The sequence below is a fragment of the Homo sapiens genome, chromosome 14 (assembly GCF_000001405.40).
Source record: "Homo sapiens chromosome 14, GRCh38.p14 Primary Assembly".
Taxonomy (NCBI): domain Eukaryota; kingdom Metazoa; phylum Chordata; class Mammalia; order Primates; family Hominidae; genus Homo; species Homo sapiens.
In genome coordinates, this window is record NC_000014.9 from 37,252,943 (window position 1) to 37,270,258 (window position 17,316).

The window sequence follows — 17,316 nt, forward strand, 5'->3', positions numbered from 1 at the left end:
CTACCAGCAAGATAAGCTGGTAGAAAAAAAGCTATTTCCTAGACATTATGATTATATACTCCTTGAAATTAAAGGTTTTGAAAATGTCTAGATAACTAATCATTCTGTATTAAATTACAGGACTTAAATTTTAATAATTGGCTTTCTAGTAAGTAATGGTATATTTTTCATGAAGAAGAAATATAGTTAGTGGTTTTAGCTTATTGCCTATATTTTAAAGTAGAAAGAAGACTGTGTTGGAAAACCAATACTTTTAATAATGTCAGTAAAATGTTATGGTGGAAAGAACACAGGTTTGGAGCTAAACATAAGTTTTAATTTTTAAATCTTTCACTTACTACCTACTTGGATTTGGGTACAAGTTTCATAAATCTTTGTAAGCTTGAGTTTTCTTTTATATGAAATAGAGAGATAATCTATTTAGGACCATTGCGAAGATGAGGAATGCTATATGTAAAGTCCCTACTACAATGTCTGAAACAGGAAATGAATTTATTTAATCTGTATTTCACATACCAGAGTAATTCTTTCCACCAGTGTGATGGTGGTAGGTTACAGATGCTAAAATAAATAAATAAATACATAAAATAAAAAAAATTAAAACAAAGGTGGTTGACAAATTTAGAGGACTTTTAAGTAAATCGTGGTGATTGTCTTTCTTATTCCTTCTAGCTATGGAAGGTACATTCTACTGAGTTTCAAAAGTATTATGAATCCTTAATAACAGTATTTGAAATGATTGTAATAGTATTTTAGGAAGTCTATTTTCTTCCAATACAATGTTCAGAATATCACTGGAACTTTAATTTTCAAAATGGTATGCTTATAGTTAGTATATTTGATAGACTATAGTATATAATTAATAATATTAATTTAGGATAAAATCTATTTTCGTCTGTATTGAAATTCCAGTTGCAATAAAAATCTCCAGATTAGTGGCATCACAGAGTATTTTTATGTGTCTTTTCCTTTTGGCAAGTATGGATTTAAGATTGCATTTAAAAAATTTTCCATGTGCCATTGGGGGTTAAAAGAAGAACATGTCTGAGATCTGATTAAATTTACTACTTATCTCCATAGGACCTAGCTTAATAGAGTGCTAGTAGCTTCTCACACATGACCATCTAGAATATTTGAGAGAGTGGTTTTAGGAATACTGGCAGCTGGCCAGCAAGGATTGATTCATTTCCTGAGGAGATGCTGAGGCTACTCTTAGAAGAATGATTGAGGTTATAGTCTTTTATTTTAAAAAATTTCCTTTAATATAAATAAGTTTATTAAATACGATTCTGGAATTCTTTATTTTTTAAGCTTGATGTGAATGATTCTGTTAATACTCTTGGACTGAGTAGAAAAATGGAATGAAAAAACAAAAAATGTTTACAAGGGCAACTTAGTTTTCTAACTGGTTATGACATTTGTTGTGAACCCTTTTAAGATTCATAATTTCTAATATGAATAGTTCATGTTGGTGAGTTTATGCCACAAATTATTTTTTAAATTATGTTTTGGCAGTTTAAAAAATAGAGTTTATCTTTCAGAACAGTTTTAGATTTACAGTAAAATTGAGTTGAAAGTACAGAGTGTTCCCATACATCCCTACCCCCACAAACACCCAACCTCTGTCTCTGCCTATTCTCTACCACAGTTGTACATTTGTTACAACCAGTGAACTAATCCATAAATTCTTAGTAGGGGGAAAATTCGTGAGCTAATAGGATTTCTTCTTTCTCTTTATTTCTTTCTCTTTTTTCTGTTTTTACTAATTTATAATGTTTTAAATCAGTTCACACTGTACTCTTCATGCAGAATTCTTACATCTTTGGTTCCTGCATTTTATACAAATGATCGTTTCTAGGAAGAATGAGCATGAAAAATGGTAAATTTCCCTTTTAATAGGACCTTTTCTCCCCCGTTTCTATTCTGTTGGTATGATCCTCTTTGTAGAACTTGTGAGTCTGTTTCTTTAGGTTAAGGAAATACAAACTCTACTTTAAATATGCAAATTCTTTCAAATTTATTTGTGGTCATGAAAACAAGATTTTTTTCTTTGAAATAGAAAACAATGACTTGATTTTGTCAAAAGATTTTTGCTTTGTTTTAAATTCTCCATGCTTAAGGTTCTGAACAAATCTTTGCTAAAAATCCTCATTTATTTCTGGTTATGGCCTTTCATGCCAGAACACCTCTTGTAACACATATTTACAACATGCAGCTTAACGTAATATTACTGAATCTTTAATTTTCTACACATGAGAATTTCAGCTTGTCATATTTCAGATGACTGTGTGGCCTCCGTAGTATGATTAATATAAAGGTCTGAGTGTGCATTGGCATTTTGTTGATTTAGGAGACCTGGATCAATATACATTGGTATGTAGACTGAATTGAAGGCCCTTTAGAAGGTTGGTCCAGGTTGACTATAGGGTAGGACTAATGTGACTTCCTGGACTTAAAGGTATTTTAAATACATTTTTAAAAAGTTTCTTAAATGATAAAATTATATATTTTATGTACATTTACTTAGTACTCTTTGGATGTAAATAAATTTGTAGTAGTAGAATAAAAATCTTTTGGAGGAGTTCACCAAATACTTCAACTTTTAGTGTTTTGGTTTTATTCGAATCAAAACAACCTGTCATGTAGGACGTTATTATCTTTTTGGGATAATTTCAGATACAGTTTTTCTTTGTGTTCTGCTTATTTTAGGGAATATGAAAAAACAAATTTAGAGCAAGTCAGGCTTCAAAATTTTGAAATTAAGTAGACTATAGTGTAAATGATTGAATTAAAAATATTCTTATCTGTAGCTTTTGGATGAAATTGATAATACTTTGCCATATGGTAAAATTGTGTTGAAAAGATGCAAACTAAAAAGTGATTATTTTCAAAAATTGTATTTAAACTTTTATATTTATCTTTTGACAGATTCTAGTTTTTACATATAACCATTTAGTACTATAATATTAGGATGCTGATGGGTGAACAATACAAACTGATGGATTTGTATTGATAAAATTATACTTGTGTAGAAACAATGTTTTTGCTACTCAATATTTTAAAAATTAACAATTAAATGCTCCTTTTAAATACAGTTTTGCTGTCTGTACCAAGATAATTTGATACACTGTAAAATTAACACAGTTAACAAACAATGTTCATTGATGTGAACAGTTTTAGTATAGAAATATAATCACATTCAAGCACAAGATACCATTATTTCTTTCTTTAATTAATGTTCTCCCCACTCCAGAAAATTCAAAATTTTCAGATTAATATTAATCCCTAGCAGATTAGGGTAGGTATGGTTCATTTAGCATTAGTTTCCTTGAACCAACAACAAGTTTTGGAAGAAAGAAATATGATAAGGGAAGACAGAACAAATATGTAGTCCTTAAGGTTTCAGGCCTGTGTACAAATCCTAAGATTTGGAATATGGAGTATGGATATTCTGTGTCCTTTCCATGAATTATTATAAAAGTGGAAAGAAGTTATAATTTGAAAGAATTTCTATTTTAAGTAGATCAGATGATTTTTAAATGTTTATCAAAAAACCAAATGTTGCAAATTTGGAGTCACTGAAGCTATTTTACTCAATTGCTTTTAAGAGTTTAAAGTTAAAAAAAGTAATGATTACAGTTCAGCAAATCTGTTTCCTTTTGGAAAACTTCATTGCTTATATTTTATAATCAACCAGTATAGAGTTAAAGATTAGGACAAGGCTGCACTAGCCCAGGTAAGAAGATGACAAAAAATTTTTTTCGTTAAAAAAGCAGTCTTTGATCTCTTGAGAATGCAGTAGAAACCAGCATCAGAGACTTCCTCTGCATTTTTAATAGGACTTTTGCTTTCCATGATGTTCTATATTGACCCTTTATTATTTTTTTAAAAAGTCTCTGCCCCTCCCCCAAGTCATTTGAAATGAACACATTACCAAAAAACAAATTTACTTTTCTGAGGCTTTATTTTTTTGTTTCAAGTACTTAATGCTTTTTTGAAAAGTTTAAAATGCTAACTCTAACAAGGGGCTGATGATGCTGTAGTGTAACTAACAAGGGACTAGTTTAGCAGTTACAGTTGATTAATGAAATAGCAGTCTTACCTTTTCCTTTCATGTTTTTCTTTTTGTTTTTTGGGTTTTTTGGTTTTGTTTTGTGTGTGTGTGTGTGTGTGTGTGTGTGTGTGTGTGTTTGAGAAACAAATGGGGAATTTGAATAAAATATATCATTTACATAGAAAGTTATGTAATGATGCCATATAGAGTATAATGATTTCCTAAAACCTTGTATTTAAAGTAACCTGAATTACAATGAGAGATAAACAGAATATTTACCCATCCCTTATGAGGTGCTGCTGATATGTAAATTTATTCTTCTACTTTGCACAAATATACTTTTGAGCTACTGCTTAAACACTTTGAGGTCCTTAGTCAAACAGTTTTAATGATGCCTCCAATATTATGAAAGTGTGACATTTGATGAATGTCTCATATAGTTTTGATATCTGGGCACATGTCAACAAAAAAAATTGAGCATTGGTTTGTTATGCAACACCTAGATAATTTATAATTTTACTGTTTATATCCATCTTGACATTTTTTATCTGCCAAAGGCAGGTTTCATTTGGAATCTTAATCTGAGATTTATTTGGTGGATCTGGAAATCATAGCTAGGGTTCCCACAGGAAATGGTCCATCTACCAACAGATTAAATGGCAGTCCTGCAGTTGTTAGGGGAGCTCTGCATTTAACACACATGCATACTCATTCAGTCAGCGCTGTGGAGAAAAATTAAAGTAGTAACCCAGGTTTAGGAACAATGTAGCTAAAAAGTCCCATATTTGCTGAATGACAAAGGGTTATATAGCAGCATTTCATTTTATTATTCGTGCTTGAATTTCTTGTTTGCTTTGTTGAGTCTGCTGACGAATACTAATAAATGCCTGCAACAATCCAGACGAGAGATGCCTGGCAACAAAGCTATGCGGTGGACCTCCCTGATCTTCTCCAGTTCACAACCTGACCTTTTGAAAAATTGGCTTGGCTAAGCTGCAGAATTTGGGTGTAATGGTTATTGTTAACTCCAGCTTTAGGATTTATTAATTTGTGTGATCAAGACTTACCTATACTTCAAAGTTTCAAAAGACCAAACACAATCATCCATCCATTAGAACTAACATTGTGTTTCAGTGATTCCCGCTTAGTATCTGACTGGTGATTCTTCTATTTTGTTTTCCAAATCTAAATATATTCTTAAACAAAATGAGTGGCACATATAAAGAAAGTTTGTTTTTTCCTCTTTATTATTGGAAAATTTATCTTTTATAGATTATTTATGAAATTGTTGAATTCACAATTGGTATGTCTTCATTCTTAACAAACAAAAAATACATAATTATTAAACCTATTTTATTGCAGTTGTAGAAATTTCCAGGACTTTTCCAGTTCACTCGTGTTTTTAATTAACTTATACAAATTATTCTAATAATAAGAAATTTTGAGAAAGGCTGAAAAGGTTACAAATATATTACAAATAGCCAAATAGCTCATATCACTGGGGAACAACAAAAAGAGTTATGTTAATCAAATTTTAGGATAGTTTTCACAATCATTTCAGCCTAAATAATATTTGTAGTGTTTTTAACATTTGTAATAGAAGTTGTACAAACCCTAAATTTGTGATTTATAAGTTAATTATATAGCCTAAGCTGTAGGATATTACGCTATTATATTGTGCTCATTGCCTTCATATGGTGAAGGATGTTGAAATTTAAAAGCTTAAACATATGATAGAATTTCACAAAATACTTACGTACTTTAAATAGTTCATACAAAGAAATCGGAACTTTTCCTCAATAGGATGAATATTGATTCATTCGTGACTACTTCAGACTTGGTGAAACAAACAAAAACTTAAAAAAAATTTGTGGCATCACCACTTTAAATAGCTGTTTTATCTGAAAAAAAAAAGAATAAAATTTCAGTAAAAGAATTTTCATGAATAGCCAATAGATAGTTTGAAACATGGTACATCAAGTCATTGAATTGTTGTATCTAAGGTAAAATAATCTCACCACTTCTTTTTGGCATGTGTGTTTATCTAAATATAACCATGTGTAGGAGTATAAAGGATGCAGTTTATTTTGTATCTCCAACTCTAATGTCCAAATGAATGAGTTATGTGATATTGACAGATTTAGTGATTATCTGGTTTTTCAACCTTAATAAAAGCTTATTTCAGTATCTTATAGCTACACGTAGCCTTTACCATTCAATATGTTTTTGACTTCTCTTCAATATGTGTACAATATACCTTATTAAGAATTACATATGCACTGGGGACAGTGGCTCACACCTATAATCCCAGCACTTTGGGAGGCTGAGATGGGATCGACCTGAGATCACTTGAGCCCAGGAGTTCGAGACCAGCCTGGGCAACATAGGGGAGACCTTGTCTCTACAAATAATAAAAACAAATTAGCCAGGTGTGGTGGTACATGCCTGTGGTGTTAGCTACTCTGGAAGCTGAAGCTAGAGGATCGCCAGAGCCTAGAAGGTTGAGGCTGTAGTGAGCCATGATGGTGCCACCTCACTCTAGTCTGAGTGACAGAGTGAGACCCTGTCTTAAAAAAAAACAAAAAAAACATAAGAAATCACTGTCTGTGCTTTCCAATGTGGTAGCTATGGGCACCATGTGGCTACTGAGCACTTAAAATCTGGGTAGTCCAAACTGAGATTTGCTGTAATTATAGTACAAAAAAGAATGTAAATTTCTCAAAGCAATTTTTTAATACTACATGTTGAAATGGTCATATTTGAGAAATATAATATTACTCATTATTTCTTGTTTGATGAGCTTATGAGAAAATTAAAAATTGTATAAGCAATTTGAGCAATGTATCTTTTGGATAGTGCTGATCTATATGATTAAACATATCACCGGGACTACCTCATTCTGCCACCAACCTTTTCTTTACTTGTTTGCAAAGGTTATTCATATTGTCTGCCTCCCTCATTCTTTGTCATTTCCCCTGAGAGCAGATAGAGTTTTTAATTTACCTTTACATCCTACACAGCACCTGGCACTGTGTTGGTACTTAATAAGTGTTGAATAAAGTACTCATTTTCAATACTTGTTTGCTCTCCATATATTCTTTAGCTGATTTTCTAATTCAGTATTTCTGGCCAGATGCGTTAGCTTACACCTGTAACCCCAGCACTTTGGAAGGCCAAGGTGGGAGGATTGCTTGAGCTCAGGAGTTTGAGAGACCAGTCTGGGCAACATAGTGAGATCTCATCTAAAAAAAAAAAAAAAAAAGGAAACCTAATTTAGTATCTCCTTTCATTGATTCATTTCATTTCATTGAATGAAAGACCTAATATATCCACTGTTTTGTTCCAGTATATTTTAGGAAGATGAGTATATTAGGGAGCTTACAGTCTAGAAAGGGAGACACACATAGATGAGAAGGCTGTGAACTGTAGAAACCACATCTGTGTAACTATTCTCTATTCTTCTATAATGTGGTTGGACATAGTTGCTAATGTAATGTTGTTGAACACATTATAGAAGAATAATTACATAGTTGTGGTTGGTAATTAACTTGGTGGTGATATTGAAAAACACATGAAACAGAAAGATTATCTTATAATTTCATTTATGCTGTTTGTAGAAACAATCTAAAAGTATGTTGGCAAGTTTGTTTAAAGCACAGATAGAGGTTATTAATTATGTAGACCAATGAAAGTAAAATTATGACTTTATTTTATGACTGTTGAAGCCAAAATACAAATTTAAAAAGCCCTGAGAGAGCTAGTATACGGTATTCATGTAAAAAGTTTCCATTTTTTAAGCTAAGTTACCTAATTTCCTGTGACTCCTAAATTAGATTCTCAGGAAGATAGGAGCCTGTGGTCTACCAGCTGTGATCCTGATTGTAATTAATATCATAGAATATGTAATTAATAACAGATTGTAATTAATAACATAGAAGTATGTTATTTAAATTTCTTGTTTTCCTGCCATGGGATTGAATTTACTGTTAATTTTCTTTCTTTGACGGTGAATTTTCTCAGAATCTTTCCTGAATGTCAAGATTTCTAAATTTCAAAGTTGTATTATTTCTGTAATGTATTAGTTTTATAATCTGATACAAACTTTATTAAACCATTATGTATTAATTACAAGTTTTAACCATCTTAAGTATTTTCTCTTTGTGTTTATGTTTCTCATTGAATTAGGTGGCATTCTATTTATTTTTCATTTCCATGTCTTCTGATATTTTAGAAGAATTACATACAATTGTTAACAGAATAAGATTATTTGGGCCAAAAGAAAAGAGAAAAAGAAAAAAAAAAGAGAAAGTATTAGATACATTAGTATTTCTGAGAGATTTTTTCCCCATAGTTGCTAACATTTCCTGGAAGAAAAAGTAAATGTTTAGATAACAACTTGGTTGATTAGGTCAGCTGTACTGATTTTAGCTGTGCAACTATATGCTGACTATTGATCATCAAATAAATTTGTTCAGGAAATTGAGAAAATTTAAAATATGAAAACTAGAATAATAACTAGGAAAATAGATACTTTTCTTGCTTTTCTTAATATTTGAGAGAAATTAAAGATATAAATTTGAATTGTAAGTTTGAATATGGTCCCAAGATGGTGATGTTATCTCACAGAAAGGTGAGAGAAATCAAAATAGAGAAACTAGCTTTTAGCAAAGCAGATTCTAAAGATAATAGTAGCTAATATTTATTGTATATTTTGTGCTAACACTTTTCTAAAAGATTTATGTAACTTAGTTTAATTCTCAACATTTTTTTGAGGTAGATGCTATCATTTTGTACTCTTTACTGCTAGGAAAATTGATGAAAGGTTAAATATTTTGCTAAAGGTTGTACAGCTATATTGTGGAGCCAGAATTCAAACCTTGTAGTCTGTCTTCAGAATCCATGCACTGACTGTGGTTCTGCTTGGAAGGTCTAAATATATCAGTGGTGTAGTGGTTAGAACACTTGGATGGTCTAAACTTTTATCTTGTACACACATATTAGGCAGATCTACTATAATGTTATAGAAGTTCCTGATAATGTTATGTGGGGGGAAAAACACATATAATATACATCTGTATTGCCTAGATGTTGTAGGGGAGCACATATAATATGCATCTCTGTGGAAAGCTAACCCTCTATTCCACAGAAAAGGGAAGCATAGTTGGACATATTTAGTAATGGAAATAAATATTATTTGTGCACACGGAGACAAAGAAAGTATATACTATATTTAAATTACTTAAGGAATTTGTAGAAGTCATTGGGAGCAATCACTAGTCGGCATTGTTCTGATTATTTCAAAACTAATATTCATTAAAAAAAAAGTTTTTGCCCATTGAAAAAAGACATCTTTTGTTTAAAATGTGGAACTACTGTAGAAATTCCATCATCACATCAAATTTGCACTCCAATAGGAAAAGGAAGTCTTATATTTTGATGTTTTTATATAATATGGTGATGGACCATATAGGAAGGAAAGAAGCATTAAAGCATGCGATTTGGTTCTTTTTATATTTATAAAATCAGATGCTAAGGTGTAACCTTCTTTTCTCACCCCCCAAAAGACAGAATTTACAGAAATAGTGAAGTTATGTTATCAAGTATCAGGGAGCACATTAACAAACTGCCTTTACTATGTTCATTTTAGATATATATGCACTAAGTAGTACCTTCATCTTAAGAGGCAGGCGATCCATTTATTTGAATGTATTTGCCCCTAATACTTCTATCCACCCTTTCTCTTTCCTGTCTCTGAGCTCCCAGGTAGCTGGGATGTTGCTATTCTGAGTAACCCCAGTGGGAACCCTAGAGACAATTCTAGCTCAACCACTCTGAAGAAACAGCTCTGTAAACAGTATTGACCCCCCCAGGGGACCATCAAATCCGTTTACACAGATACCAGTTGTCACAAACTATTTACAAAGCCAGGCAGAACAGAATTTCCCAGCCTCTGAGAATCCCTATTTGATTCTAGCCACTGCCTTACTTCTGTATAGTGGTCATTAAATAATAGTTACTTTTGGCAATGAGTCATGATTTATTGGGTAGCATCAATCTGAGTATAGTATATATTAAAAAATGTATAATTATCTGAAGAATTGAACTCAAAGGGAATCTCAAAGCTTTCTTTCCTAGAATAGGCAATGGTATTGTAACACTGTTAACTTTCCAGACTAAGGAATTGAGGGTTTAACAACAGCATTAGCATTGAGACAGTTAACAATACTGACACCTCCAGAAGCAAGCAATAATTCATTAGATCATGAAAATGGTTCATTGGAAACAGCATGAAAGTCACTAGAGAGATACAGGATCCTCAAAGCATACAATGCAGCTGGTCTATGCAGATGTATTAAGTACTAAGATTCTATGCCTAGATGAATAAACTGTCTAGCAATAGCAGTAGGTGGCATTTTAGGGTAATACCTAGTAGTAATCCATAATATCATTTTTCAGTTGATAGCAGGATAACTTTATGTGGTAGTGATGGTATGAGACAGTAAATGCAAAAGTTGGGAATTATATTTGGTTTGAAGTGGTCGAATTCTTATGTCTAAATAAAACAGTGTGCCCACAGAAAAGCAAATGAAGAGATTGATAGTAATCATACATTTTTTCCTGTTGTTTAACTCTGAGAAAAGAAAGTCAGACTTCATAACTTTTGAATGATGAAGAAGAGATTGACAGTTTATTCTTTAAGTCCATATGGATAAATGAAGTTGAATAGTATTAATTCAGTTAGTCATAATGTTAGAAGAGTTAACAATGACACTGATTAAACACTAAAGTGGATTACTAAAGAGAGTTTCCGTTTCAAACCATATGAAAGAGATAGAGGAATCAACAGGATGGTTTTAGGTTTAAGTTTTCATCTGCCTAGAGATAAGAGTTTGAATCGAAAGTGAATATCTTTCTGTTTAACATTTGTCTTATCTTTTAAATTGACTAATATGCAAAACAGACCAATAGCTTCACTTTAATGGCATTTTATTGGCTTGTGTTTATATTTCTGTATGCAGTTCTTTTTAAAGTGATGGGGCAATACAAATAAGCTCAGCTAAAGCTCTTAGTAGCTTCGTCTCATTATTGCTTCATAAAGATCCTTCTCCTGGGCTGGAGAGTTTAGGGAAAATAACTGAAGTCTGAACTTAGAGTTACTAACTGCTTTCATCTTCTCTTGGTTAGAAAAGGTACTAATTCAGAAATAAATTTGGGCTATGAATAAGGTAAAGAAAATTAGGCAAAATGCAAGATGATAGAGCAGTATCTTAAAATTTGTCTTGAAAAGTCAAAGTGTTTCATGCCTGTTGCTTACTCACTAATGTTTCAGAAAAAAAAAAATTGTAAGGTCAGGCATGGTGGCTTATGCCTGTAATCCCAATACTTTGGGAGGCAGAGGCAGGAGGATTGCTTGAGCCCAGGAGTTTGAGACCAGCCTGGGCAACATGGCAAGACCCCATCTCTGAAAAAAAAAAAATTAGTGAGGCATGGCAACACAGCACACAGCTGTAGTCTCAACTATTCGGGGGGCTGAGTTGGGAAAATTGCTTAAGCCCGGGAGGTCAAGGCTGCAGCGAGCCATGATTGTGCTACTGCACTCCAACGTGGGTGACGGAGCGAAACCCTCTCAAAAAAAAAAATTGTGTAGATAGTTATAGAAAGAATGGTTAATAAAGCAAGCATGATAAAATGTTAATATTTGGGGAGTCTAGGTAAAGGGCATACAGTAATTCTTTGTTTTGCAACTTTCTTATGAGACAAATTATTTCAAAATGAAAAGGTACAAATGAAGGATTATCTAATGTCAGTTTTTGTCGGCTTTCTCATTTAGCTTGCTTCTGCAGTCATTGAAATCTTTGATGTTTGGCTCTCATTTCTTCTCTCCATTTTCTGCCATTTTTCTGGATGACTTCAATGCCTTCAAAGGTGGTACTTTCAGCACTTTGACTTTTTGATTTTCTCCACTCCAAGTATGTTCACTTTTAATTTATTTCATCAACTCATTTCCAGATGAGCCATACCTTGGACTTTGTCCTTAATACTGATTTTAGAAATTTTCTTCCGACTATAACATCTTGTCATTTCAATACAAGAAATGTCTCTTCATTTTTCCTAAATTTATTTCTTCTCCTCTATATCTATTCCTATTCTTCCTATTTTTATAGTCTATTAACTTTTTATTTCATCTAACTCTGGCTATCCTTTGGCAGTTTGCTACTTCGCATATCCCTACTTGACCTTTTTTGGAGCAAATGCCTTTGTGAAGTCTTCCTAGAGTCTTCCAGGTGAGCATTAGTATGTCTAGCATATTGTATGTATTTGGCCTCCATAGCCCAAGCATAGTCCTTATTATACTGTATTCAGATCATTAGATGAGTTTGCCATCCTCACTGTACTAGAGAGTCTTTGAGTGGAGTGTTTGTTTCTTATTCATCTTTGTTTTCCCAGTAGCTACCACAAGACATACCACACTGTAAGTTTTCAATGAACGATCAGTAAATTAATGAATAAATAAATTAGAAGAGTCAAACTTTTTATACAAATGTTTGAATACTAATATAGTGTAACGCAGGATGGCAGAGAGGAGAGCATTGAAAGCCTTCAGAGGATTTAACATTGATTTGCTGGAATCATACTTGCCAAAATAGTTGGTCAAAAAAACAAGACAGGCAGGAAAATTTTTATAAGTCAGCCATGTGTATTCTAAAGTAAAATTAAATTCTCAGACTGGGAGTCTGAGGTGGGAGGATTGCTTAAACCCAGGAGTTTGAGGCCAGCCTGGGCAACACTGCAAGATCCTGACCTAAAACATTTTTTTTAAATAAATTTTCAGTAGAAGAGTATGGATAGTCTGATTTGCAGAGCAGGCTCCAAATTTCTGATGAGCCTTTTGAAATAGAAATCTGAAAGCTTTTACTACTGAACAAAATGAGAAATATCCAGAAATAGAGCCATGTCACACAGTATGGGTTCTTTAAAAATATTAAACATTTATAATTAAATTTTAGAATGGAAGTCTGGAGTGTGTCAGAAATTGATGGATTTATTGTAATAAAACTTCAAGGGGTTATAATTACTAAGACCCAGGAGGGATCAACACAGAGTCTTCTTATTAGGAAGCTCTTATTGGGAAGCTTCTGCATCTCCTCTAAGATTGAAGAAGATAGTGTGGTCACAAGTTAAATAGTGGTAATTTATCAAGAGTTCAGGGGATCACAAAATTTCACATTAGGTTAAAGCCAAAGAAAGAGAACTATAAAACTAGTAAACAACCATTTACATTTGACAGTTTTAGGAACAGATACATCTGAAGATTACTTGTTCATTCTTGACAGCTCAAAATGCTTACTTGGTTTGCATTAGATGGTCACCATGCTAGTTTTCTGTAATAGGCTGGCATTAGTATAATGAAACTCTTAAAATCTGAATGACAAAAGTTTATAAACGGGCACTAAGGAAAGCCTCTATATCATTAACAGACCATGCTTTCTAACACTAACATAACATTGTAAGTAACTCAAATGAAAAGCAATCAGAAATAGTTACTGAAAGCATTATCAAAATAACAAACATTGCCCCTAGGGACATATTTTTAAAAAACTCTTAGGCCCCACATTCTTCAGTTTATGAAGTGCCATATTTCTTCAAAAGGAAAAAGGATGGTCCATGGACCACTGCCAACTATAAAAGCCCCCAGGTCCCCATGACAGCCCCACAACTGCTTCAGACTCTTAAGTCCCAACTCTTTTTGGCCTATTTGAGACCAAATTTACCATTATCTACAACTTATCCCAATGCTTATCTGATTACAGTAGGAGTAAGACTAGAAACTATATGTTTAAAGCTAAAGAGTGTTTCCAAAAATATTTATTTGACTGAATGATTTAATATGCAGTTATGGTGTTTAATATATCATGTGTTATTTGTTTGTTTAAATACAGACATAACCCACAGTTATCTTGAACAAGAAACTACGGGGATAAATAAAAGTACGCAGCCAGATGAGCAACTGACTATGAATTCTGAGAAAAGTATGCATCGGAAATCCACTGAATTAGTTAATGAAATAACATGTGAGAACACAGAATGGCCAGGGCAGAGATCAACGAATTTTCAGATCATCAGTTCTTATCCAGATGATGAGTCTGTTTACTGCACTACTGAAAAATACAAGTAAGTGCTCACAGCCTTAGATTTAGAAGGAATTGGGGCCAGGCGTGGTGGCTCATGCCTGTAATCTCAGCACTTTGGGAGGACGAGGTGGGTGGATCACTTGAGGTCAGGAGTTCGAGACCAGCCTGGCCAACATGGTGAAACCCTGTCTCTACTGAAAATACAAAAATCAGCCAGGTGTGGTGGCACATGCCTGTAATCCCAGCTACTCAGGAGGCTGAGTCATGAGAATCGCTTGAACCTGGGAGGCGGAGGTTGCAGTGAGCTGAGATTGTGCCACTGTACTCCAGCCTAGGCAACAGAGCAAGATTGTCTGAAGAAAAAAAAAAAAAGAGAAAGTTAGAATTGGAAGAACTTTTTCTCCCTCCCTTCTTCCCTTTCTTCCTCTTTCCTTCTTTCTTTTTGGTGTTGGCTAATTCTAAACTTATTAGAACTTGGCGAATCTACCAGGGTTTTCTACTGTTTCCATGGTATGGATATAATATGTCTAGTTAACTAAGTGAAAAAGCACAAAGTGCATCTGAAGAAAGACAGGTTTAATTCTATTTTATTCAATATTATTTTCTGTGACCTTTCTTTATGTATTTGGAAATAACTGTTAAATTGATATACATGACATATCATTCATGAAAGTAAAAAACTGGCAGCTCCAGGACAAGGTAAGCCCAAACATGCATTTTGGTTTGGGTTAGCGCTATTTTTCATTTAAATGAATTTGATGCTTTTAAAAGGGCCTTGTTCTCTACCATTTGCATTCCTCATTATTTTACTTTCTCAGCTTTTACCCAGTAACCTTGCCTACCTAGCTCATGAAAGGATTTGAATTTGTGATACCTGATACTTCTACCCATGAGATTAAGGAACTTTGATAATTAGTCATGTGCTAGAAAAATATTATTAGATTTAAAAAGAAGTTTCAGTGACTAATATATTTTCAGTCTAGACAAAATAATATTTTGCAGCATACTATTTTTAACAGATTTTTGCATAGGAACTTTTATTCTACTTTCAAATTATTCAGTAGATATGTTAATAGATAGTAACATATAATGAAATAGATGTATTGATATGTTCCCATCCCTTTTTCAGATTCTTACTAAGGTGTAGGTTGGAGTCCCTTTTGAGGAGTAGAAGCACAGAAGAATGAAGTAGGGATAAACATTTTATAACCACATGGGTAAAGTAAATAGTAGAGATTGGGCTAAAGTCAGATTATGAGATATCTAGCATAATTACAACAGGAGATGTACGTGGTAAATAGAGCTGCACTGACTGTCCCAGCCGTCACTAAATTTCTTCTTAGTGACTCCAAAATTTACCTGTGCTTACAAATTTAATATAAGGCCTTCAAAAAAACAGCCCATCTCTTTTCCTTTCCCTTCCTTTATGGTGTTTGCTTACAAGTTGATACTGTTCTCAAGTAGCATACAAAATGTCAAAAAATTAGTTTATCTTACTCTGAAATGTTAATCAGTTTCTTTATTACAGCGTTATGGAACATAGACATAATGATATGCATTATGAATGTATGACTCCTTGTCAAGTTACTTCAGACTCAGATAAAGAGAAGACAATAGCATTTCTTCTAAAAGAATTGGATATTCTCAGAACAAGCAATAAAAAGGTATAATATGGAAAGTCTGATAATTGTATAGTATGGGTTTAGCTGTTGATCTTCTAAATTTCCTTTGTTGCCCATCATAATTCAGTTTTATTTTGCACTTTAATCATTTAACAGTAGCTTTATGTTTTTGCCATACCTTGCCATCAGGGTATGGTTGAGTTAAGGGGTTGAAAATGAAAGCATTTTTTTGATTTCATACCTTGCTGGTCCACATTAGCACTTCCTTTTTCATAAGCCCCTGGTTCCTTGTATACATATCTTTAAAAAAAAAGATTCAAGTTTTAGTAAAACTCTGCTTCAGTATTATAGAGAATGGGAGATAGAATGCACTGGTTTCATGTTACTATCTTAATTTTTTTTTCTTTATTAGTATCCATGCCCTATATTTGACCTCAATAATACATGTAATTAAACATTTCAGTAGCAAGGCTTGGCAATATTGTCATTTACCTTGTGTTAATCTTATACTGCTGCATTTTGTCCAGTCCAATTTGTCACGTTATGTTTTATCTTCTGTTCTGACTCTTATTCTAGTTATAGTCATGTGATCATTAAATAATTTTATTAAATAATGTGCATTTTCTGTGTCTTCTTTTTTTTTTAACCTCTACATACTGCTCTGATTTTAATATTCTAGTTGTGTAACCTAATCAAACTGAAGCATGATGTTAGGAATGTTGATCATGTTTGGAGGAAAACAACTAAAATGACAAAAACCTAGGGAGGAATTAAAAAAACATGTGGAGGGATTCTGTATGAGATGTTTTCTGTACTTTCATTTAGCAGTTATTTATTACATGCCACTTATGAGTCAGGTGTCAGTGTCAATTTAAATGGAATATGATGGGGTAGTATTCTCAAAGGGAGATTTGTATCAGATATTAAGATTATTGTCTTAATTTTGTTTCAGAATATTGGATTTACTAAGATAAACTGTAAAGCAGTGCTATCTGTTATTTTATTAGGCAAATCCCTTCCAAATATTTTGCATTAAGAAAAAAGGATGAATGAGACTGCTTTTGCAGTAGTCATTATTATTATTATTTTTTTTGAGATGGAGTTTCACTCTTGTTGCCCAGGCTGGAGTTCAATGGCGCGATCTCAGCCCACTGCAATCTCCGCCTCCTGGGTTCAAGCAATTCTCCTGCCTCAGCCTCTCGAGTAGCTGGGATTACAGGTGCCCGCCACCACACCTAGCTAATTTTTTGTATTTTTAGTAGAGACGGGGTTTCATCATGTTGGCCAGGCTGGTCTCAAACTCCTGACCTCAGGTGATCTGCCCACCTCGGCCTCCCAAAGGGCTGGGATTACAGGCGTGAGCAACCACATCTGAACTGCAGTAGTTATTTTTAAGAATAATGTTGGTCCTCTGAATTTAATTTGCCTGTTCATGCACATATACACATAAATTAAGTGTATATTGGGATGTTTTTACAATTTCTGTATAACTACAGGTAATTATTAC

General features: G+C 33.2%; 1 protein-coding gene across 13 annotated transcripts in view, besides 1 other annotated feature; it reads left to right on the top strand.

The window, feature by feature from the left end:
- MIPOL1 (mirror-image polydactyly 1) overlaps positions 1-17,316 on the top strand; it is a 354,425-nt gene that overhangs the window by 55,006 nt on the left and 282,103 nt on the right. For 10 of the 13 annotated variants that reach the window (NM_001195296.2, NM_001195297.2, NM_138731.7 and 7 more), the window contains 2 exons: positions 13,996-14,227; positions 15,716-15,851. In NM_001195296.2, coding sequence (NP_001182225.1) covers positions 13,996-14,227; positions 15,716-15,851 — 368 coding nt within the window. Of the gene's footprint in view, positions 1-12,264; positions 12,340-13,995; positions 14,228-15,715; positions 15,852-17,316 lie in introns of all 13 variants that reach the window. The other 3 variants (NM_001388071.1, NM_001388074.1, NM_001388070.1) reach the window with 1 other exon arrangement.
- Positions 4,193-5,201: an enhancer, noted in NCBI's record as "VISTA enhancer hs593". NCBI's record gives its function as "enhancer in: midbrain (mesencephalon)[3/3]" and the evidence as "EXISTENCE:transgenic organism evidence [ECO:0001131][PMID:17130149]".